We start from the raw sequence: 25,297 nt of genomic DNA on the forward strand, positions 1-25,297 counted from the left end.
AAAAAAATAGAAACAGAGTTAGCCTCACAGAGTCACAGAAGTGGAAGGACATGGAAGTGAACAGATGACAGTACTCAGACCCACAGTGATCACAGTGGTCACTTCCCCAGGATCACAGTGGGGCAGCTGCAGTCATGAGTGAAAGTCAGCACTTCCAGCACCCGGCCTAGCGCTCTTTGCACTGAGCAGGGCTCTCTGATGTGATTTTCCTTTGCCTCCAATGTCAAAATCCCAGGCTTCTGAGATTTTATTCTTGTTCATAGTTTCCCCAGTATGGTTCCACATAGGGGGTTGATCATAATCCTGAAAGACCCATCCCAAATATTGAAATCCTGAAAGATCAAAATCCCAAAAATATAATTCTGGAAAAAATAAGAAGAAATTATCTTTAAAACATTTATTTACATTTTTAAGGGAGATTTATTTGAGAACCATATAAAAACTGACAGAGCACTTCAGAGGCCAATTTACACAATAAAATTGGCAATAATAACATATATATCTTTGCAAACATAAGCACTCAGCTATTCTAACAACAGTCACATGATTACAACAATTACAAGCAGATGAACTGTATTCATAAGGCAATATGCCAAAAACAAAGTGTATAAACATGTATCATGATGGTTGGTAGTTGTGTGTACCTAGCTTTATAACTCCAGTCATCCGAAATACTGTGATGGACAACCTGTCTTTTGACAAGATCAATCAAAAACCTCTATAGGTCACCACTGCATATGCAGTGGCCCAAAAAGGCAAGATCTCAAGAAATTTTGGTCTTTCACAAATGCAGATACACAAAAAGGAAATCTGTTCATTTATTGAGGAAGTTTCAATGTTTTTATATTGAGAACCACAGCAGACAATGGTGTTACTCTCTGAGGCCAAAAGCCTCAGGACCCAGATGGCCGCTGCTGTTAAGTACTGGAGTGCAAAGGCTGGTGAGCCTGGAGTTCTGATGTCCAAGGCAGCAGAAGAAAAGTCTGTCCCAGCTCTCAGAGAGAGACCAGTTGGCCTTCTATATTTGTTATCTCCAGATTGTTGGCCAATTGAATGGTGTCCACCAATATCAAGGGCAGATCTTCCTCACCGAGTCTACTCAGTCCTCTGGAAACACCCTCACACACACCCAAAATAATGCTTTACCAGGGTTTCAGGCATTCCTTAATCAGTCAAGTTGACATCTCAAATTAAGTCAATAAATCCATCCCTGTCAACTTGGCACTATATGCATCTCCTTAAACCATACTTAATTTCCAAATAAAGACCACAACAAGGTAACAGTTTCACCTAACATGATGCAACTATCCTATGATTGTGATTTTCAGGATTTTAGATGTTAAGGATTTAGTCTTTAGAAATTTTGATCTTTCAGGATTTCAACCTCGGGGATGATGGCATTCAGGAATGTGTCTTTTGGGATCATAATCCAAACTCTCTATAAGTGTGTTTCCCAGTGGCCCTTCTTGGGACACTCTCATGGATAGAAGTCACCTGGGAATCTGCCAGGCCTTAAGAACAGGGGCTAGTGAGAAACCAAGGATGCACACAGTATGAATGAATAATCCTAAAATGTCTCTCTTGAGGTTGTTGGAAATGTCATAGTCTAGCCATGGAATCCTGAAAATTTGCCTGCTTTGAGTTATGTCTAGAGTGGACAGTCTCAACTGCAGTGATATTCTCAGAGCCACTTGGAGGTCTTTTTGAAAATACTGATTCCAGGGCCTCACTCTGAACTGCCTGAATCCAAAGCTCTGGGGGAGAAACCCTGGCAGTGGTAGGGTTGAAAAGCTCCCAGGTGATTCTAGGGTGCAGCCAGGGCTGAGAATTGGAGCTTCAGAATCTAGAGATCATATTAAGTTCTCTACAGAGATCTGGTGTCTTTGATCTGTTAATTTCAAAGTCTACAAATCCACTGCTATTCATTCTTGGGAATGACCTCCTTTTCTTAAGCTCAAATAAACCCACAGTCTGCTCCAATGGAAGAGTTTCACCTGCTCAGCCTGCCAGGTCCACCCTCAGCATCCATCCCTTAGACAGATGCCCTTTGTCTCCTGGTGAAGCCCATCATTCATATGCTGGCTTCCCCCCAGCCCCAAATACCCCATCTCTAAATGAACCCCAAATGTGCCTCCTTGGTTTCTACACTAAAAGAGTCCTCACTAGACAACTGAATATGGTAGATGTTCATCAGATGAGGACATGAGACAAATACACCTCACATCTACTGAATCCTTAATTTGCCCCAATTTCCATTGAACTGTTTATTCATTCATTCATTACGTATTTAAGGAACACCTTTTGTAACCAGATTCAGCTTCTTCCCTTCTGAATATCTTGAATAATCCCACATGAGGACCAATATCTTTGCAACCATCAGACAAGTCACCATGCAACTTCTGGTACTGTCTAACATCCAGCTAAGGATTATGCCTGATGAACACATCTGCAAAGCAGCAGCTTTCCATGCCTGCTAACTTGCTACCCTCTCTCCTTTCCTGGTGTCTCTCTCTTCAGAGAGAGAACACTGATGATTTCTCACTGCTTGTTTATGCTTTGACAGAAAGCCCTCGTGATACCTAGAAAGCCTAGATACTAGCAAGTGAACTGGTTCTTCCTAAACAAGATATCCTGGAAGGCCTTATTCACAAATTTAAGTGTGTCAACATTGATCTGAGAAAGAAGGCAGGTATGCTGCCCCAGTACATTCCATACAGAAGTGTGCTGTTCATTTCAGAGCCTGACATTCTCACCTGTTCTGATTCATGAATCACTTCCCAATAGACAGTGGTTAACTCCCTAACTTCCCATTTCTTCAGATATAAAGTATGAATGCAAACTCAACTTTAAGCAACAGAATCTGCCAACAGATTCTAGTGTACAAACTTTATAGCCAGACTCCCTGGTGCACCTGTCCTTCTCCTGGGAAACCTCTAGAACTGCCCCAGGCACAGGCCTGAAGAAATGTGAAATAAGTGGTGTGTGGATTGCCACTTTCCCCCTTGGCAAGCTTTGGCAAGACATCCTTTTGTCTTTCCCTGTCAACCTGGATGAGGCTTCAGTCTTCTCAACACGAGATCCAGGCGGTCACTATCCTTTGGAGCTGGTACAAAAGGGGCAAAATCTATTGTCCAACAGAAGCAGTGGAAGAAAGTATCTTTAGAACTGCACACACCTAGGTTTGGAATTCAACCCTATGACTCACCCAACCTCAGTTTCCTTATTTTTAGACTGAGATACTACTACCTACTTACCATGGTGTGGTCATGAAAATTAAATGAGTTAATGTCTGTAAAGTATCTAGTATCTTCCTAGCACAATAAACACAGGTTCCTTTCTCTTTTCTCTCACTGTGGGACATTTCCTTGAAGATGTGATGAGCATTTTGTTAGGTAATTTTAGGGTTGGTGATAGGTAAGATCTGTTAGAGTGGGGGAAATAGTATGTATAGATAAAAATGGAAGGATTTTTAGAGTTTACAGAGGAAGAGCCCACAGAATCTGGAAATTCTAGCTGTAGAGGGAGGCACCAAAGGTAAGAATACAGTGTGGTGAGGCTGTGTTTTTGAAAGATAAGAAATGGTAATGAGGGATGATTACCAAGAAATGAAAGTGCATGACAAGTTTTGAAGAAACTAGCAAAGCAGCATACGTGGTTGAGCCTAAGTTGCTGGTAAATTAGCTGCAAATTAAATAAAATTTTAAACAAGGTCCTTATACCTTCTCTAACTATTTGATCCTTTGTTTTTTCTAATGAATCACAAGGGCCCGTAGTACAGAGTGGCTATAAAGCAATGACATTAATTGCCAGAAGATACACTTGAGGAAAATCAGTTTTAATATTTCTGAACATATCCAATCCGTGGTTAGAAATAAGGAGAATGCACATTTTACTCATTGTTACCAAACCCATCACAAGTGGCTAGAGTAGTAAAAGGAGAAAGGCCTGGAACTGGGAAGGCAATTCCTCCTAACTAGCCACGTAGCATCCATGAGATTTAGTCTTTTCTTCTGTAAAAGGAAGGGGGTGTTTGACGTGTATCAATGATGTAGCAGAATGTTTTTGGTTCTAAGTAACAGAAAAGCTGGTTCACATTGGCTTAAGTAATAAAGGGAAATTACTAGCTCATGCAATTGAAAAGCCCACAGAGATTTGAAAAACTTCAGGGCTAGCTCAAACAACTTGACCAGGGACCAACATTCCCTTCACCATTTCCTGGCTCTGCTATCTCAGTGTTTCTTCATCTTAGGGAGACTTTGGCAGATCTCTGTGGTTGCAAAATGGCTTCCAGCTGTTCTGTGAGGCTACATGCCCTCATTCATTTAAAAAAAAAATCTTTTTGCCAATGTTATCAGCAGAAGTCCTGAGGTTTACTCTAACCACACTCTCTTAGGTCACATGTCCATCCCTGAACCAATCACTGGGTCAGGGGATAGTATGTGATGATTGATCCAGCCCAGGTCATGTGGTGCTAGGTTCATTCCCATTGCTGAAGGTGGATTCTCCATAACTGCATGGATTCCCATATGAAATTAGAACAGTTGGGAAGTGAGAAGCAGAGAAGGAAAGGTGCAGAGTCAAGCAACCTATTTTCTTTTTTTAAATTTTTATTTTAAGTTCAAGGGTACATGTGCAGGTTTGTTACATAGGTAAACTCGTGTCATGGGGGTTTGTTGTACAGATTATTTCATCACCCAGGTATTTAAGCCCAGTACCCATTAGTTATTTTTCCTGATCCTCTCCCTCCTTCCACCCTCTACCCTCAAATAGGCCTCAGTGTGTGTTGTTTCCCTATATGTGTTCTCATCATTTGACTCTCACTTATAAGTGAGAACATGCAATATTTGGTTTTCTGTTGCTGCATTAGCTGCTAAGGATATGGCCTCCAGCTCCATTGAAGCCCCTGCAAAGTAAATGATCTTGTTCTTTTTTATGGCTGCATAGTACTCCACAATGTATATGTACCACATTTTCTTCATCCAGTCTACCATTGATGTTAGGTTAATTCCATGTCTTTGCTATTGTGAATAGTGCTGCAGTAAACATACACACATGCATCTTTATGACAGAATGATTTATATTCCTTTGGGTATATTACCCAGTAATGGGATTGCTGAATGGAATGGTATTTCTGTCTTTAGGTCTTTGAAGAATCACCACACTGTCTTCCACAATGGCTGAACTAATTTACACTCTCACCAACCGTGTAAAGTGTTCCCTTTCTCCACAACCTCACCAGCATCTGTCATTTTTGGACGTTTTCATATTAGCCATTCTGACTGGTATGAGACAGTATCTCATTGTGGTTTGATTTGAGTTTCTCTAATGATCAGTGACGTTGAGCTTTTTTCATATAATTGTTGGCCAAATGTATGTCTTCTTTTGAAAAGTGTCTGTTCATGTCCTGTCCTTTGCCCAGTTTTTAATGGGGTGATTTTTTTTTCTTGCAACTTTGTTTAAGTTCTTTATAGATGCTAGATATTAGATCTTTGTCGATGCACTGTTTGCAAAAAATTTCTCCCATTCTGTAGGTTATCTGTTTACTCTGTTGATAATTTCTTTTGCTGTGCAGAAGCTCTGTAGTTTAATTAGGTTCCATTTGTCAATTTTTGCTTTTGTTGCAATTGCTTTTGGCATTTTTGTCACGAAATCTTTGTCTGTGTCTATGTCCTGAATGGTATTGCCTAGGTTGTCTTCCAGGCTTTTACAGTTTTGGGTTTTACATTTAAGTCCTTAATCCACTTTGAGTTAATTTTTGTATATGGTTAAGGAAAAAGTCCAGTTTCAGTCTTTTGTATATGAGTATCCAGTTATCCCAGCACCATTTGTTGAATAGGGAACCTTTTCCCATTGCTTGTTTTCATCAGGTTTGTCACAGATCAGACAGTTGTAGGTGTGCAGTCTTATTTCTGGGTTCTCTATTCTGTTCCATTGGTCTGTGTGTCTGTTTATGTACCAGTACCATGCCATTTTGGTAACTGTAGCCCTGTAGTATAGTTTGAAGTCATAAGCAACCAATTTTCATGGTCAAAGGGATTTAAACCTTTTTTGGGGTGAACAGAGTTCCAATATATAAATATGTGCAAGTGCTTTACTAGCTGTTATAGAAATAGGGGTTTACAGCCATGTTTTCTGTCACTTTTAAATGACCTGCTTAGAAACCTAGTGCTCTAGAGGACAGAGATTAGGCTCTCTTTGGGTCCCTCCAGCTCTATTGTTTGCTGGTGCTTGATAAGCAAATATCTACTAGGACAACATGTGTTCATGTCTACTGTCTCCAGGCACTTCGGCAGGCCTTGTGCTATTTATCCTGTGTACAGCTTTGTGAACTAAGTAGAACATTAATTTTATTAAGAATATCCTTCTTAATGTAAAGACTTATCAGTATCCAAGCATCATTTGTCAAGGTTGCAAATATTTACCTAAGTTTCTGATAAAGACCAGAGCAATAAAGCCACAGACCAGCACAAATAAATAGCTAACAAAGCTGACCAACATACAGCACTAGGGAGAAATTATGCGAAAGGAGAGGGAAAAAGGAAGGCTTTCTTCAAATAAACAGTGCTCAGAAGTTTGGTTTCCTGAAAGTCCCAGGGAATTAATTAAATTCCCTGTATTTAATTTGAAAGTTGTATTTACTTTGAAAATTAGGTGGAAAGTATTTTAAACTTTTTTGAAAAAATTGAAAGTTCCCTTAATAAGAACTTTGGCATAAAATCTGAAATACTTTCAAAAATTATTATTTTAAATTATGGTAAAATACACATAACATAAAACTTACCATCTTAACTATTTTTAAGTGACACTTTCAATGGCATTAAGTATGTTTACATTGCTGTGCAACCAATACCACAGTCCATCTCTAGAACTCTTTTCACTTCACAAAACTGAAACTTTATGCCATTAAACAGTAACATTCCTCCTTCCCTCCAGCCCCTGATTACCATCATCCTACTTTCTGTCTCTTGAATTTGATCTAGATATCTTATATAAGTAGAGTCATACAGATTTTGTCTATTTTCTGAATGGGTTATTTCACTTACCATAATGTCCTCAAGGTTCATCCATGTTATAGCATGTGTCAGAATCTCCTTCTTTTTTGAGACAAAGTCTCACTCTGTCACCCAGGCTGAAGTGCAGTGGTGCAATCTCGGCTTGCTGCAACCTCCACCTTCCAGGTTCAAGCGATTCCCTGGCCTCAGCCACCTGAGTAGCTGAGATTACAGGTGCCTGCCACCACACCTGGCTATTTTTTTTTTTTTTTTTTGGGATTTTTAGTAGAGACAGGGTTTCACCATGTTGGTCAGACTGGTCTTGAACTCCTGACTTCAGGTGATCCACCTCTATCGGCCTCCCATAGTACTGAGATTACAGACTTGAGCCACCGCGCCCAGCCCAGAATATCCTTCCTTTTTAAGGCTGAATGACAATTCATTGTTTGTGTATACCACATTGTACTTATCCATTCATACATTGATAGACGCTTGGCTTGCTTCCACCTTTAGCTATTGTGGATAATCTGCTACGAACACAGGTATACAAATATCTTTGAGATCTTGCTTTCAATTCTTTTGGGTATATGCATTCTTAGAAGTGGAACTGTAAGATCATATGGATGAAATACTTTTTATGGCACAGTTTTGTTTTGTAAAATTCTTAAATATATATTGCGAAGTAGCAAATACTCGCAGATTGATAATTTGGTGATTTCATTTTATAGCTTAACAATAGGTATAAAAGAGAAAGCAACCGGGCAAAACTTTTAGAAGATCAAGTGGCTTCTTTCCTGTTCATGGAGATGTAAGCAAATAAGAGTTCAATTGTGTTCTAGGCTTGCATTTGTGTAAGTCTTACAATCATAAAATCAAGTGCAAGGGATCCATAGTCTAACTCAGGTTTAACTTGATGCACGGGTCCAAGAAAACAACGCCGTGCTTCAGGAATGAAACAAAGAGGAGCTTCTTCAGCAGTCAGGGAGAGACTGCTGGGCTACCCAGATGTAACCTATTTTTGCTTGTCTAGCCCACAGACTTCCTTTTCTGTCCAGATGGACATAACGACAATAGGAAACATGTCTCCATTTCTTCCTCAGTGGAGAAAATAAAAGCATCTCCTTGTGAATATGGTTTCATTGTTTGAAAGTTATTTGCATTAAAGCTTCCAAATTTAGTCAAATGTAATTTCTTAGAAACAATATTTCTTAAAGGGAGTTATGTGTTCCTTGAAATTTGCACCAGCTACTAAAACAATCATGCTTTCAAACCAATAAATGTGGTATTAAAATGTCTTCCAACTCTATCAACTTCACTGAAAAAAGAAAGCTAGCATTTTTTTTGGCACATAAAACAGCAGTAATTCAAGCACAAGCCTCATATTGTGTTCTCGGTTGTGACACACAATAATTGGTGTTGGAGTACTTGGAGAGAAACAGTTTGTATCTCCCTACAATGAAGAAAGGACACACTTTGGGTCAGGGCTATTCGTCCCTGAAAAAGCTGGGAGTGTTTCAGAGGTGGTAACGAAGACACTGTCTCGTTCACACACTCATTAATAGTATCACCTTTCATTAGTTGGGTAACAACAGATAATGAAAATTAATCAAACAAAACCCCTTTTGACAGAGTCTTCGATGGTGATGTCATAGACCATTGAATATGCAATGCTTTTTGCTCCAGAGACTTCTTTCTGGCTGTAAGTGCTGTACACTCCCAGGATGATTTGTGAATCAGGGACTAGGTTGGTTTTGCTGGAACAAAGACGTGGCTCACGCCTGTAATCCCAGCACTTTAGGAGGCCAAGGTAGGCGGATCACTTGCGATCAGGAGTTTGAGACCAGGCTGGCCAACATGGTGAAACCCTGTCTCTACTAAAAAAAAAAAAAAAAAAAAAATACAAAAATTAGCTAGGTGTGGTGGTGCGTGCCTGTAATCCCAGCTACTTGAGGGGCTGAGGCAGTGAGAATCACTTGAACCCAGGAAGCGGAGGTTGCAGTGAACCGAGATCGTGCCACTGCACTCCAGCCTGGGTGACAGAGTGAGACTCGGTCTCAAAAAAAAGGCTAAGAATGCTAAATATCTTGCAGAATGTCTTTCAGGAGACTGAAGTCACTGCTACCTTAGACTCTCTTACCTAAACATTTCTATGTTATCATCTTTGTAACCTATGCTTCCACCAAAAATATGAGATTCTAAAGAGGATAATGAGTGAGTAGTTCCTTCTCTACTCTGCCCTGTCTTTCTTTCTCTTTCTTCCCAGGGGCAACTCTTTCTCGCCTGTCATATGTTACCATCATCCTCTTGTGTATGCATGTGATATATGTATCACTGCCATCTATGGGGCCAAGACGGCTAAAGAACATTTGGGCTATGAGCATTCTTGTCTCTGGTTCTTTCCTCCTAGTACAGTTAGGGCCAACCTTTAGTGTGCATAAGAATCCCTACTTTAAATGCAGATTCCTGGACCACCCCCAGGGATTCTGATTTACTAGTTCTAGGATGAGACCCAGGAATCTGCATTTTAATAAGCACCACAGGCAATTCTGGATAGGTGGCCTCTTGACCTCACTTTGAGAGGCCATGTCTCTGAGTATGACAGCCTAGCATCTCTGCCCCAGCCTGGAGCTCAGTCTCATCAGGGATGGGTTAGTGCCCTTGGACAAGAGCAGCAGCTCCCAAATTTCCTCCAGTGTGTTTGAGAGCAGCTGCATGTTTCTGTAAACGCATTTTGCAGATCATTTTCTGGGGTTAATCATTGCAAAGATCTGATTCAGACAGTAGGTTTCAATCACACTTTTTCATGGCTCAATATAATTAAGGGCGGAAGTTGCTGTGTTGGGTGTTCCACGGTGGCCACGAACCGTGACTGACAGATTGGACAAGCAGAAGTTCCAAACAAAACACCAGCTCCCACAGAGCTTTGTGAGCTGGGAAACTGGCCAATTCCTTTTCCTTGGCCTCAGTTTGCTCATGGGTAAGGGAGCTATGTCTTACCTCTCATAGGTGTTAGGAAGATAAATGACTAAAAAAGCCATTGGGTCAAATGACATGCCACCTTTGACATCTAATATGAGGATTTAGCAGAGGGCTCTGCCGCCACTGTGAAAACTCCTATCTTCTAAAAATCTTATCTGGAAGAGAAAGAAAGAATCCAGTGTAAAGCACATACTTTGAATCAGATGTCCCACTAGACTCCTCCTTAATCTTCACAACCCCTTGAGATACAGTAGTGGGTTACTTAAGTTCCACTAGGGTACAGGAAACAGAGATTTGCAAACTTTACCCTAGGGCTTGGTCCACAGAAAAGAAACACAGGCAGGTAAATGAAAGGTCTAGAGCAGGGGTCTCCAATCCCCGGGCTGCGGACTGATATGGGTCCATGGCCTGTTAGGAACTGGGCCACATGGCAGGAGTTGAGCAGCAGGTGAGTGACTGAAGCTGAGCTCCACCTCCCGCCAGATCAGTGATGGCATTAGATTATCATGGGAGTGTGAACCCTATCATGAACTGCGCATGTGAGGGACCTAGGCTGCATGCTCCTTATGAGAATCTAATGTCAGATGATTGTGAGTTGTATAATTATTTTATTATATGTTACAATGAAATAGAAATAAAGTGCACAATAAATGTAACATGCTTGAAGCATCTGGAACCACCCCCCGCACCACCCAGTTCACTGAAAAATTGTCTTCCATGAAACCAGTCCCTGATGTCAAAAATGTTGGGGGCCACTGGTCTAAGGGAGAACCAAGATTTAGGGATCCCAACGCAAGCCCTTTCACTTTTAAAAAGTTACACATTGTAATTGCATAATGAAGTAACATGTGAACCAATTCCTCTCGTAAATTCATTACAAGATGGAGTTAAATTCCTCTTTGTCTCTCCTTCTGTAAATGTCCACATTCTTCTAGGAGGATTCACTGCTTTAGGTTTGCTGAATATTTTTAAAGACCTTGTGCTATGTAAGCACATACAGATATCTGTACCCCTGGAAAACCTACGGAGTGATTTTATGCATATGTACCCATGTTCTGTGTATGCGTTTTTAAAGTAGAAATGGAACCACGTCATATACATCACTCTGCAACTTGCCTTTTGCACTGAACAATACCTCTGGAGGATTTGTTATTACCTGTACATGTCAGTCTACTTCACTTGATTTAACTGCTGCTGAAGCTTCCAAGCTTTGGGTATCCCCAGCCTATTCAGCTGTTCTCTTATTGGTGGACATTTTGGTTGTTCCCAATTTTTGCTAAAACAAATGTAGTGAACACCCCATACACGCCTCTTTGTGCACACATGTCTTTCTAAAGTAGATTCCACAAAGTTGGATTGCTTCATGGTATGCAGGGTATGCCCAGTTTTATTTTTTAGTAGAATTGTCTCCAAAATAGATACATGTATTTACACCAGTGGTGTCTGAGAGCATATTTCCCCTGTTTTCTCGGCCAATATTGATATATCATCAATTTAAAAAAATGTTGCCAATCTGCTGGCAAAAAAAGAGTATGATCTTTCACTTAAATTTACCTTTTCCTGATTACTGGTGAGGTTGGGCATTATTTTATATGTTTGTTGGCTATTTATGTTTCTTCTTTTGTAAAATCCCTTAATCTACTTTTTACCCATTTTCCATAGTGTTGCATAGCTTTTTTTTCTTGCTAAATTTTTGGAGTTCTTTATGCATCCTGAATCCTAACCTTTTAGGATCTATTTTCTCCTGGGTTACTTGACATCTTAACATTATAGTATATTTCTCTCTCTCTCTCTCTCTCTCTCTCTCTCTCTCTCTCTCTGTGTGTGTGTGTGTGTGTGTGTGTGTGTGTGTGTGTGTGTGTTTTCAAACAGAAGTTTCTAACTTTGATATGATCATATACTACTGAGCTTTTCTTTTATGAATTTTAATTTATGTTCTGTCTATGAATGCCTCCTCTATCCCCAGGTCATAAACATATTTTTTCCTATTATGAAGCCATGTATTTTTCTGGCCAGGGCATAGCATGAATCTATGTACCTTCTATCAGGCTCAGGGCTGCTGCATGAGCAAGGATACTGACATTCTGCCTGGAGAGCAACCATTTATACTTTAACTTTCAACTGGATTCAGCTGCAGGGTGATCCTCAGGAATATGCTTCTTAGGTAGCCTAAGGGGACTGGCTTAGGCCGTAGCAAGAAGCTTTTGAGGGCCATCATCAAACAGAAACATTTAAACCACAAATCCAGTAAAGGTATGGAATGACTTTCTTCAGAGATAGCCAAAACCCAGATGGATTTATTATCTTAGGATATTTAGGGTAAGTCCACACTTGAGAAGGTTCAAATGATCTGCTACAAGTTACTTGGCCTTCCCACTGGCAGCACTGTCTAATGGAAATATAACTCAAGCTGCATTAGTATTTTAAGACTTCTAGTAGCCACATTAAAAAATAAGTAAAAAGAAATAGGTAAAATAATTGTAATGATTTAACCCAATATATCCAAAATAGTATCACTTCAACATGTAATCAAGATTACATGTTATTAACATATTGTACATTCCTTTTTTTGTATGAAGTCTTTGACATTTGATGTGTATTTCTGCTCAAAGCCCATATCAATTCAGAGAGCCACATTTCAAGTATTCAACAGCCCCATATGCCTAGTGGCTACTGTATTGGACAGAGCAGCCCTAAGGATTAAGACTGCAAAAGATCTATGATGTGCTGAAAGGCATCTTCTCTATTTATATTAAAGTGATTAAGCAACCACAGTCTGAATTTTTAAGTACCTCCTTCACCCTCCCCCCATCCTTTGTTCTCCTAACACAAGTGTATTATAACTTCAATTGATCCCACCTACTGATGTAGACTAATCTTCCTAAAGCAGTTTTGTTTGGATTCTTTCCTGGAGAGGATGTTGCTGCCAAAGAAGACTTTTAGGAGGAGGTGAAGTTAAGCGGAAACTTGGAAGGTGGGCAGGAATTAGCCAGATGTCAGAGGGAACTGTGTGATTGAGGATGTGGCTGCGGTGTATAGGCTGAGAGTCAAGCAGACCTCAGATCCTACAGAGACGTATAGGTCCTGCTGAGAACTTGAACTGGATTCTGAAGATAATGGACTCATCAAACATATGCAGTAGAGAGTATGGGAGAGAGGCAGGATTTGAGGCAAGGAAATTGGTTTGAAGGAAAGTGCAAGGTCCAGGTTAAAAATAAATGAGGGCCTAAGCTAAGGCAATGCATTCATTCATTCATTCATTTATTCACTCTACAAATACTTATTGTCTACTGTGTGAGAGTTGATGTCTCAGGTGCTGGAGGTTAAGTAGGAAAAAAAGCATGCAAAACCCTCTGCCCTCACAGAACTTCAACATCCTGTGGGGAAAGGAAGTAGATGGTGATGAAAAACGGTGATCCTCAAGTTTCAGGTCTTGCTTGGTGAATGATGGGACCATTTTCTGAAATAGATATTACAAGAGGCAGAACAGGCTTTCGGAGAAATAATGGGTTCAACTTCATCTGTTTGACAAAGGTTTGGATGTTTGGCAGATATTCAAGTGGAGCTACCCAGCAAGCTGCTGGATATGCATATTTGGATAATTCTGGAATAGATGTGGAAGCCATGGCATATCAATTGTATAAAATCCCTGGGAGTGAATGAGATAACCCTAGGAGGATGTATGGAAGCAAGAGTCACAACTCAAATGATTACAGGGCTCAGGTGAGTTATGAATGTATGTGAATTGGGTCATATGTGAAATAGAGTGTTGTTTTTGTGGCTAAACAGAGAGTATATTCTGTCTAAGGCAGCAAGATTTGGCTGGTGGACCACCAGTTTGCAATTCCTACACTTTTGGAACTTCTTTCTATGCCTCTTGTCTCATTTTTCAAATAAATATTTTTATGGCAGGCAGCTAGCTGTTCATGAAAACCCATTTCCTCTTCTGAGATACTCATTGCAGTTCCTAGCCTCCTTGCCATTACTAGTGGCCGTGACTGGGTTCTAGCCAACGGGATATGAGCTCAATTTTCAGCCAATGCCTTAAAGAAGAGGGTGTGCCCCTCCATACTCTCTCCTCTTCCTCTGGCTTATATACATGATGACGAAGTCTAGAGGATTTTGGAGTCACGAGATGGAAGGAACCAGGAATAAGGCCACCTCCCAACCAGGACATCTTCTTTTGACTATTATCTGAGTGAAAAATAAATCTTTGTGATGTTTGAGCCATTATACAAGTTTGGCCCTGTTTGTTACTACAGCCTAGCCTAACTTAAGAAATCCACTGCTAAACCACACTAATCCTGGCTGTGACATCTCTAAGGTCAGGGACCATGTCTGTCCAGTTCATTCATGGATCCTCAACACATAGCCCAGGACATAGCATGCAGTAGGTACTTAATACAATTTCTTGACAACACTAGCTGTGTTTTATTGAGCATGTTTTATGTGCCAGTCACTGCACTAGATCTTTTATATATTGTGCATTATTTCATTTCATGTAATGACAACTCTATAAAGCAGGTTCCAATATTATACTTTTTTCCTCGTAAGAAGATTGAGGGTTGGAAAGCTTATAGCTGGTATTTGAAATGAGGCAGGGTGACTCCAAAACACACACTCTGAAACACCAGTACATGACCACATGCATACTCATTTCAGCATTTTAACTCAAGTATTTTCTCCCACCAAGAATGCCCTCAACCCCTCCTCCCCAATTATTGAAGCCTGCCTTCTGCATCCTTCCTAGCACCCATACAATCATTCTACCCTTTAATTAGTCCAGCAGGAATTTCATATATATCATTACTACAACAGGGATTCCATGTATTTGTCTGCTTCTAGAAATAAGTTATCTTGAGGGTAGCACAATATCTTAGACATTATTCATCTGAGTGTTCCTTAAAACATACGGGAAGATGGAGAACCTGCCATGTGCCAGGCACCCTAGGCACTGAGGACTAAACTGCAAATAGGACAGAGACAATCTTCTCTTTTGAAAAGCTCTATTCTTGTGGGAGTAAACAGACATAAAAAACGCATCACAGCACAATGTAACCTCCACATTAATAGACGCAGAAGAAGAGCGGGGAACCAGTTCTTTCTGGAGGAGGAAAGAAAGGACTCCCAGAGCAGGTGACATTTACCTGAGCTTCTGAAGAGTGAGTAGAAGTTCTCCAGTTGTTTAAGAGGAATCTCAATTAGTGGGAAAAGCATGTACAAAAGTGTGGATACATCAAGATGCAGGAGTTCTTCTGGATGGATGAGGTATTGGATTGCTAAAATGTAGGATTCCTTCATGGATTCATTAATTTATTCAACAGATACTGAGTAAACCTAGAATGTGTCAGGGATTGCACTAAATGTAAAGGATTCAAAAGTGAGCAAAACAGACATGATCCCTACCCTTGTGGAGCTTAGAATCCAGCAGGGATGGCAGCTGACTACAAAGCTCTAGCAATCCTGTGTGAGAGGAAAGGAAGAAGGGATAGCCCACATGTAAGTGAGAAGCTGGAGAAGTGGGCTGGTCCAGATTGCAAGAGACCTTTGACACCATTCTAGGGAGAAGGAAATCTCTCGTCAATCTATCACCAAGTCCTGCCTCTCCTGCCTCCTTGATAGCTCTCAATTGTGTCCAGTCTTCTCACCGCCACTATTCTCAGTATAGGTCATCATCTCTTCCTTGAATGAACGAGATAGTCTTCTAAAAGGCTTTCTTGCCTGTCATCCCCCACCCCCACCCATTGTCCTCAATGCAAACAGAGGGATCTTTAAAAAATCAAAATCTGTTCATGTTATGCCCTATGGTAGGCAGAATTCTAAGACAGCCCCATAATCTCCATCTTCCTGGGGGCTACTTTGGTGATTATATTACAGTACACAGCAAAAGGGGTTTTTCAGATATAGTTAAGGTTACTAATCAGTCAACCTTAAGACAGAGAAATTATCCAGGTAGGTTTGACTAATCAAGCACTTTAAAAGCAGAGTTTTCTCTAGCTAGTGGCAGAAGAGGATGGTAGATTGATTAGAAGCAAAGGAGGACTGGATGGATTTGACATGTGGTTGCTGACTTTAAAGTTGCAGGGAGGGGGGTGGATATCCTACAGAAAGGATCTGAGAGAGTTCTGTAGGAGCTGAGAGTGACCCTGGAGGACAGCCAACAAAAGAATGGGGACCTCAGACCTACAACTGAGAGGAACCAGATCATGCAAACAACCTGAATGGATTTGGAATTGGGTATTCCCCCAGAGCCTTCAGACAGGAACTTGAACCAGCCTATACCTTGCCTTTTGCCTCGGACATCCTGAGCAAAGTATGCAGCAGCCATGCCAAGTTGGACTTGTGATCTACAGAACAGTGAAGTAATAGATGGGTGTTGTTTTAAGTCACTAAGTTTGTGATAATTTGTTACATAACAATAGAAAACTAATATACCTCCGACCTTTCCAACCCCCCAATAAAACTACTGGGGATTTACCAGGCCCAGGCAGTTAATCGCTACACCAGTTCCATTAGGGAGGTATTTTTATTATCACCATTTCACAGACCAGGAAACTGAAGCTCAGAGAGATTAATACTTTTCCTAAGGTTATAGAGCTAGTACGTGGTGCTGAAATTTTTACTTGGCTGTTCTGACTCCAGATTTGCACTCTATGGGTTCTCATTGTCTTTAAGATAAATCCAAATACATAAGCATGGAATTAAAGGCCCTTCCTGATCCCATTCCTGTTCAATTATCCAACTTCAGTTTTAGGCACTCCTCTCAAATTCCTGACAGCCCCCATAACTAACATGCTCTTGATTCCTGACTGCACTACAATCCCTTCTAGAATGCTGCTTGTCCCTCCCCTCCATCTGCTTTCCTTTTGGCAGACTCTAATGGTCCTTTGGGTCTTGTCTAACACACCTCTTCTAGGGAAAGCCTTCCTTGCCCCTCCAAGATGGGTTGGATGCCACTCCAGGGTCCCCCAGAACCTCATGCTCTCCCTTATCAGAGGACACAGGACATTGTGTTGGGAATGTTTACTTGGCTGTGCCCTCCCACTAGACTGTGAACTCTTTGCAAGCCAGAACTGGCGATTAGTTCATTGTCAAATCCCTAGCGTAGGACCTGGAGCAGAGAGGTACTCAATAAATATTTGCTGAGTGAATCATTGAATGAACAAAAGTGCTTTAGCCAAGAGGCAATGGGGAGCCATCTAAGGTCTTGAAGAAAGGGAGTGAGCTTATTATTACACCTGTGCTCACAAGGACAAGTTCAGGGCAAACCTTGCACTCAGTGGACCATCCTCATCAGCAGTTAAGGATGAAACAAGTTCATTTGCATTGTGGCCTTGGGTTTCTTGCACTGTAAAGCTTGGCTGTTATCTCTTCTGGACCACATCTGAATATTAGAAAATGCCAGAAGCCTTCACAGTTTCCCCTTATGGAGGTGGAAAGCATAAAAATAGCTTGTGACTTGGGTCTGGGCCCTGAACTCCCACTAGAATGAGGAGCCCCTCTCCCAAAAAGGCTGTGGGAAGCTGAGGTGAAGGTGACGTGGAGACCCACTTACGTGACACTACAGGGAACGGGCAGCCGCCTCTGAAGGTCTGTCCCCCTCCAGCCCATACCGTTCCATGCCTGCACTTGCTCCCGGAGCACATTGCCGAATCTTGTTCTCCTTAGATATGCAAATATTGCTTCCTGTCGAGAAGGACTGGGAGGCCTTCCGCTTTAGAGGCAGCGCTTATAGCGCTAGCTGGTCGTGGAATGCGATTACAGCGTCTCCATTGGAGACCGCTGAGTGCCTCGGTTTCCCTGTCTGTGCAAAGTGCACTCCCCAGACGCCGCTGCCTCGAGGGACCAGGAAATGCGTCTGGGGGCGCCAGGAAAGATGAGAAGATAAAGTCACGATGCGTCCAGCTAGCTATAGACACAAGCAGAGGAGCCAGTAGGCCAAAGGAGACGCACAGCTGATCCGTGCCGAGGCGCGGGCTCCACTCCCTGAAGTGGAGGGACCCTTGAATCTTTCCTTGCGTAGGCGCGCGGCAGAGCAGCGATTTGGCGAAAAGGGCCGAGACTCAGGATGCCTGCAATGCGAGCGAGGGGCGGACAGGGCGCACGGGGCGCGGCAAGGCTGCGAGGGGCGGGCCTGGGCCCTGAGCCTCCTGCACTTCCAGCCACAGCTCTGGGCCTTGGGGGCGGGAAGGGGTGGAGCCACGTGGGGAGGAGCAAAACCCGGAGGTCCCGGGCACCTTGGGCAGAGCCAGAGCGGCGGGAGCCGGTCCTGGGCGCGTTGCCCCGGGAGCGCCCGTCGTCCGGGCAGAGCGCAGCCGCAACCGCGACCACAGCCGCAGTCGCTTTCCAGCCTGCCTTCGGTGCGCAGCGGGGGAACAGGGCTAGTGCAGCCGCCGGAGGGGGGCACGGGCTCCTCTCCCATCCCAGAGCTACTGGGCTGCCCTTGCTGTCCTCGCCGCCCCAGCAGACCCCGGCCGGACCTGCCACCTGCGCCCTGGTTGCGCCATGGATCCTTCGGAAAAGAAGATATCGGTGTGGATCTGCCAGGAAGAGAAGCTGGTGTCCGGCCTCTCCCGCCGCACCACTTGCTCCGACGTTGTGCGAGTGCTTTTGGAGGACGGCTGCCGGCGGCGACGGAGACAGCGGCGGAGCCGGCGGCTGGGGTCGGCCGGCGACCCGCATGGCCCGGGAGAGCTGCCCGAACCCCCGAACGAGGACGACGAGGACGACGACGAGGCGCTGCCGCAGGGCATGCTGTGCGGGCCCCCGCAGTGCTATTGCATCGTGGAGAAGTGGCGCGGCTTTGAGCGCATCCTCCCCAACAAGACGCGCATCTTGCGCCTCTGGGCTGCCTGGGGCGAAGAGCAAGAGAATGTGCGCTTCGTGCTAGTGCGCAGCGAGGCATCGCTGCCTAACGCCGGCCCCCGCAGCGCCGAGGCGCGCGTAGTGCTGAGCCGAGAGCGCCCCTGTCCGGCCCGCGGGGCCCCGGCGCGGCCCAGCCTGGCCATGACCCAGGAGAAACAGCGGCGAGTGGTGCGCAAGGCCTTTCGCAAACTGGCCAAGCTCAACCGGCGGCGCCAGCAGCAGACACCGTCGTCCTGTTCGTCCACTTCGTCGTCCACTGCCTCGTCCTGCTCTTCGTCGCCGCGGACCCACGAGAGCGCGTCGGTGGAGCGCATGGAGACGCTGGTGCATCTGGTGCTTTCCCAGGACCACACAATTCGCCAGCAGGTGCAGCGGCTCCACGAGCTGGACCGCGAGATCGATCACTACGAGGCCAAGGTGCACCTGGACCGCATGCGGCGTCACGGGGTCAACTACGTGCAGGACACTTACTTGGTTGGGGCAGGCATCGAGCTCGACGGGTCCAGACCGGGAGAGGAGCCAGAAGAGGTGGCGGCGGAGGCGGAGGAGGCGGCGGCGGCGCCCCCTCTAGCCGGCGAGGCGCAGGCGGCGGCGCTGGAGGAGCTGGCCCGGCGCTGCGACGACTTGCTGCGGCTTCAGGAGCAACGGGTTCAGCAGGAGGAGTTGCTGGAGCGCCTTTCAGCCGAGATTCAGGAGGAACTCAACCAGAGGTGGATGCGACGGCGCCAGGAGGAGCTGGCGGCGCGGGAGGAGCCCCTGGAGCCCGACGGTGGCCCCGACGGCGAGCTGCTGCTGGAGCAGGAACGGGTCAGGACGCAGCTCAGTACCAGCCTTTACATTGGGCTGCGGCTCAACACGGACCTAGAGGCCGTCAAGTCGGACTTGGATTACAGCCAGCAGCAATGGGACAGCAAGAAGCGCGAGCTACAGGGCCTTCTGCAAACTTTGCACACTTTGGAGCTGACGGTGGCACCGGATGGGGCTCCTGGCTCTGGCAGTCCCTCGCGGGAACCTGGGCCTCAAGCCTGCGCCGACATGTGGGTGGACCAGGCCCGTGGACTGGCCAAGAGCGGTCCTGGCAACGACGAAGACTCGGATACGGGACTGAGCTCTATGCATAGCCAAGACTCGGACTCCTTGCCCATGTGCGAATCCCTTGTGTAGGGGTGGGGGGCGGGGGGCGGGGGGCGGGAACAGGGGGATTCTTTTTTCTTGCAGAATGCAGTGGGCCAGCCGGCTCGCGGACTTGAAACCAGGCTGTTGCGAGCCCAGAGCTCCGGCTGGGCAGCAGCGCTCTGCGCAGCCTCGCGCTCATCTGGCTCCGGGGTGAGTGCAGAGCAGGGTGAGGGTAGAAGAAGTAGGATCCTCAATACAAGCTCATTAAAGAGAGGGAAGGAGGGAGGAGGCAAGAACCCCCTATACTGGAAAACAAACAACCCAAGGAAATTGACGTGGTCCGAGCCCATTTTCAAAGTAAGGAAGTATAATGGAGATTTCGCTACTCTTCTGTATGGGAAGGACTGATGGCAGCTAGAACTTTAGTTTGTGGTATGAAGTGCTTTAAAAGAAACACTTGGATGAAAAGGAAATTCCTTGAATGTTAATTGTGACTGTAAACGTGTTAAAACTAGCCAAAGAGGACGCACTGGTGTCGGTCTCTGCCTTTCTTACCTCTTTGATAAAACCCATAGGCACCAAAATCCTGGCTGTTTACATTTCTGCAGATTTGGGAATTACCCATCTGCTAAATCATTTGTCTTTTATTTTCTTTCAAAGGCTAAACTGTATCGAAGTCTAACCCTGTATTTCCTCCTAGTAAACACAATAGATGTTAAAAGGGAATTCTTTTCCCAAAATAACCTTTTATTATTACAAAAGCCAAACATAATCATTTGAGATATAAAATCCTGGCAAACATAATCGTGGTTAAAATTTAATCTGGGCCCTTTGGGATCTGTCCCTTCAAAGGCAGGTGAGTTGCCCTTTAATTCGTATTGCCACTTCATTGACTCAATCACTGTTATTTCAGAAAAAAATAAAAGGAAGTAGCAGAATTCAAGTTACGCAAAACAAAACTTGCTGTCTAACAAGCACTCTTTGAAAGCAAAGATGTTTTAGTGTTCAGCTTTTAAATTGAGCTATGTGATTAAAACCAACCATGACCTTAACGGATTTTACCCAAACTCGTCTAACTTCAGTATGTTTTGTCAGAGATTAATCAGTTACTTGTTCAAACTTAAATTGAGATAGTGTAAATATCAGGGTTTCCTAGATAAGGACAGAAAAGAAAAAAATAAAACAATCTCATAGTACTCCTTGGGTGAACAATGTGATTAACGATGGCACGTAGTCATGGAAAAAAAGATAAAAAGTGAGTTAAGAACTTGAATTACTCTTGTCTGGCACACGCCTATGCACATGCCAGGAGATGCAAGTGCAACACCATCTCAGTAGCTGGCGACAGAGCTGGTGGGGACTCCATGTAATTGTTCCAGTTGTTTCAATTAAAACTTATCAGTTGTAGCTAGTTGTTGGCCCCGCGGAAGGAGCCTGCTGGCCGATTTCCCTCTGCAGCTCAGTACTTCTGAGGAATGTGGGATCTAATCTGTCCTGAGAAGGTTATTAACAATGGGGCATGTGTGTGGTACCAGCATGGTGCAGAAGCCTCTTATCAACCTACTCTTGAGGGGCTGGCTCCAGTTTCAACACTACATGTGAAGATAACTTAAGAGGTCTTGCTTTATACAGAAGTTCCTTCCCTTGCAGAGATTCTCTATCTGCTTGTTGCCAATGGGAGCCTGCCCTTATGACCTCCTCAAACCACTGTTTGTGCTGTCTCCTTTTTAGAGACAGCACCCCCCACCCGCCCCGCACTACCACCACCACTGCCCTGGTATTACAACATGTGTGCCTGTTTGCAGATTTTCAAGTAAAAATGGGAATTTAAAGGCCATTTTCTTAATTGATGTTTTCAAAAGACATTAGCTGGCATAACTATGGTTTTTTAGTTTCATCTGATGCAGGAAATGTCTATGCATTTGGTCTTGAACATGATAAAAATGAGGAAGGGACTGAAAAAAACCCACCATCCCCAGACAATCATTTGATCCCATAAACACGAAACCTAATGATAGCTTTCATTTTGAGGCAGAGGTAAAATCCTCATTAGAGTGTGACAAAATGCTACTTGTCTGAATGGTTTATGCTGACAATGGGCTGACCTGGTGGTTTTAAAATTATTGTGCTGTTTTTCCCCCTCAGGGTGGTAGGGGAGTGATTCTTGGACGTTTATTAACTCAAAAAGAACGCAGAAGTTGGCAGAACAGAACTGCCTGGAAGAAAGGGGCTGTTTTCCTTTTCACTATTATTATTTTAAACTTTGATGGGCTGCTGACGTCAGCAAATATGCTTGACGCCTGTAAAGCAAATAAGCCACATCACAAGCAGAAAGCCTGTGGGATTTTCTGGTGCCCTATTTCTAGAACCTTCCCTGTTCTGACCATTTGAAGGTGCTTATTTAGTCAACCGTTCAGGCAGCTGCGAGGCTTTATTGATAACAAATGGCAGCCTATTTGGCCCATTTTTTTTCTTTTATCCAAATCAATTATATTCCTAAAAGGCACTCTCTGTGAGTAGAAGAAAGGAGTGTGTAGAACAGGCTGACGTGGGGGAGCGGGGAGGAAGGAGACAATAGTTCTTTTTACTAAGAGCTTTCGCAAGCCTGAGAAAGGTGAAATAAAGGTATAAAAAGCACCAAAACAGTGCCTGTGCATAGGAAGTGCTTAATAAATGCTAAATACTTCAAGTTTTAATTCACATTTATGGTCACCATGGCATTAAGAATGAGAATAAATGCATGACAGGGAATGTACCAATGTCAGGATTTCAGCGCCCCTGGGAAAATTAACTCAGCTCCTATTCTCCAGCTCTAATGGAAATCCTGGGCAGAAACCAGCAAACTTAAGAAGGGTATGAAATGTAGGTCCCTTACCAGTCAGCCCCACCCTTTTTTTTTTTTTTTGGTAACTGAGATAATTTATTGTATTTTTGATCTGAGTTATCCTAGTCTCAGCCATCTCCCAAACCAAAAGATTCCATATGGCATCTTTATGTTTGTTTATTTCCTTATAAAGTGTGTTTATTTTTTGCTGATTAGAAAAGTTGTGTACACGATAGTCCTTACGATGAACCTGAAAATAACATAAAAAGGCAAGAAAAGTCACTCTAAATCTCTGTACCAAAAACCTGTCACTACCAAGATTGGTATATTTACTTCCAAACCTTTTGAATTGTGCAGATTTCATATTTGCTTCTGTATTTAAAAATATATAATTTTGATAAGATTGTATATACATGTTTATACTCAGGTTTGACAGACTCCCTGTAAACAGATCTACCCATCTGGTGGATATACCATAGTTTACAGAACTGCGCATGTTATCAGTTTGTTTCCCATACTTTTTTTTACTGTTATAAAATAACACCGTAATAAGTTTCTCTGTGCATGTATCTGTTTACCTAATTAGACTCCCACCCTCCCCACAATAAGATAGGTTTCCAGAAAGAGAATTCTCAGGTCAGAGTACAAACATTTAGAGGCTTGATACTCACTGCCAAATTGCTTTTCAAAAGATTTGTTCTAATTACAATCAGCTATGCATGAGCATGCCTGTTTCACTACAGCTTAGCTTTCATTAGATATTATATTTTGTTAGGAAAATATTTTAATCAAAATTTACTAATTAATTCTTCGTGGCCTCAGGAAGCCAAAGCTGACAATCACTGACTTAAAATATTCTTACAACAGCAAGGGTGGGCCCGTGGATCAGAAGTGTTAGTTAAGAGGGTGTGGTGTTTTCTCTCCTTTCCATTTTTTTTCCTTCCCTGAGTATTTGCTTAAGGTAATATTAATAGAATTTTATCTCATATCAGAATTGGTCAATGATCTGAGAACAGAAGGGACAGAAACTCTACAGAAGCAGGGCTAAGGAGATAACAAATTGAATCAGAGTTATAAAAAGAAAATATTCGTTATCTTTTTCATCTTGAGTCTAGTGGAAAAGGCTATTCTTAGAAAGCAATGCCATGAAACATATTTGATTTTGTGCTTCTCCATACCCACCTCTAGCAAAAATTAAATCAAATGAAACACATAAACCAAGTTGTTTATAAGTAGTCTGTAATGAACAGTTTAGATTTTTCTAGGAATTTCTTTCTAAATATGATATGCACTTGAGGTTGTTCTTAATATCTTGAAAAGAGAAGATTTGATTATGACAATCTGTGAAATTTCCATTGTGAAAATGCTTGCGAAATTTGTTTTCCCAAGCAGAAAAGAAGGAAGATGAGGAGAAATCAAGTTTTGTTGAGTTTTTTTGAAATGCCAGATCCTCGTGTTTTTTCACATGTATTTTCTCTGCATTAATCTTGTGAGATAGAACGTTTTAATCTCCAATGTTTACAGATAAAGGAACTAAAGCCATTCAGTTCATAAGTAAGAGATGCGGGATTCCAACCCAAGCCTGACCACAAAACCTGTGCCTTGTTGCTACACACACCTGATGCATTACGCACAGTAAGTGTTCAGCACATCCAGAAGAAAAAGTCCCCGGGACTCCAGAGCGTTGCCATTGGAAAGGCTTCAGAGATGATCAAAGTCTTGTCCAGGTATTTCTACCAGGAAAGTGGAGTACTTTTCGGAAGATCACACTTTTGCTAAATCTACTAGGTGAAGATTTAGTAAAATACAGAGGAGGGGAAATTCTTATGTAAATATTTGGGTGGCTGTCTGGGAGAATGAAAAAAAATTCTTAAAAAACGAATACTCCCTGTGTTAGCTTGGAGGTTTTGACTGAATGCCCCATGGACTGTTGTTGCTCTACAAAGCGCAGGTGCATAGTCAGTCAACAACGTGGACTCCTCAGCCATCAGGGAAGACAGCTGTGTGCTAGTCAGACTCACATCTGGAAGGTGGTACCAACCATGACCGTGCTGGTGGGAGCTGTCCCCAGCACTTTTAACAGGCTTTATTTCTGTTTGAGCCTCTGGGTACATGAGGATGTGGGAGGAGTCGAAGGAGGGAGTGCCAGGCTTTCCAAGGATCTTTGTGTGTGGCATTAGGTATGCACACCTGGCTGAATGCATCTTTGGCCACAATGACCCCATCGTGCTCATGGAGACCTTGCATGGATTGCTTTGAAGGCCTGCTTCCCCCAGCCTCTCCCCTTCTCATCCATTCCCATGCAAATCTCCTGTTTCAGACACTTCTAGGATTTCCCATAGCTTTCAAGATAAAATCCACATTTCTTAGCAGGTTTGTGAAGGTTGTTGGTTTTCCAGCTCAAGATCCCTCCTTTAGGTCCACCCTCCCCAACTTAAGACCACGGAATTGAGTTGATCCTATTTCTTCATTCAGGTCACACTATCATCCTCCTTTTATGCATGTGCCCTTTTCTATCTTC

At 43.3% G+C, this 25,297-nt stretch overlaps 1 protein-coding gene and 1 long non-coding RNA gene across 4 annotated transcripts; one reads left to right on the forward strand and one right to left on the reverse strand.

The window, feature by feature from the left end:
- Positions 1-400: 400 nt before the first annotated feature.
- Positions 401-18,016, reverse strand: RASSF10-DT (RASSF10 divergent transcript). 3 transcript variants are annotated; one of them, NR_187419.1, is made up of 4 exons: positions 17,527-18,016; positions 9,990-10,126; positions 7,044-7,246; positions 401-5,986 (listed from the first exon to the last, which is right to left on the reverse strand). It is a non-coding gene; the product is annotated as an RASSF10 divergent transcript (long non-coding RNA). The 3 variants fall into 3 exon arrangements; NR_187417.1 differs by lacking the exon at positions 7,044-7,246; NR_187418.1 differs by having other exon boundaries at positions 401-8,866.
- Positions 18,017-18,215: 199 nt separating this feature from the next.
- RASSF10 (Ras association domain family member 10) lies at positions 18,216-21,019 on the forward strand. The gene has a single exon (NM_001080521.3). It carries the CDS (start codon positions 18,477-18,479, stop codon positions 19,998-20,000), a length of 1,524 nt encoding a protein of 507 aa, NP_001073990.2. The 5' UTR covers positions 18,216-18,476; the 3' UTR covers positions 20,001-21,019.
- Positions 21,020-25,297: the final 4,278 nt, after the last annotated feature.

The sequence above is a fragment of the Homo sapiens genome, chromosome 11, assembly GCF_000001405.40.
Source record: "Homo sapiens chromosome 11, GRCh38.p14 Primary Assembly".
Classification (NCBI taxonomy): Eukaryota; Metazoa; Chordata; class Mammalia; order Primates; family Hominidae; genus Homo; species Homo sapiens.

Excerpts from the sequence above, each read along its gene's own strand:
- RASSF10 (NM_001080521.3), top strand. The coding sequence starts at position 18,477 with ATGGATCCTTCGGAAAAGAAGATATCGGTGTGGATCTGCCAGGAAGAG.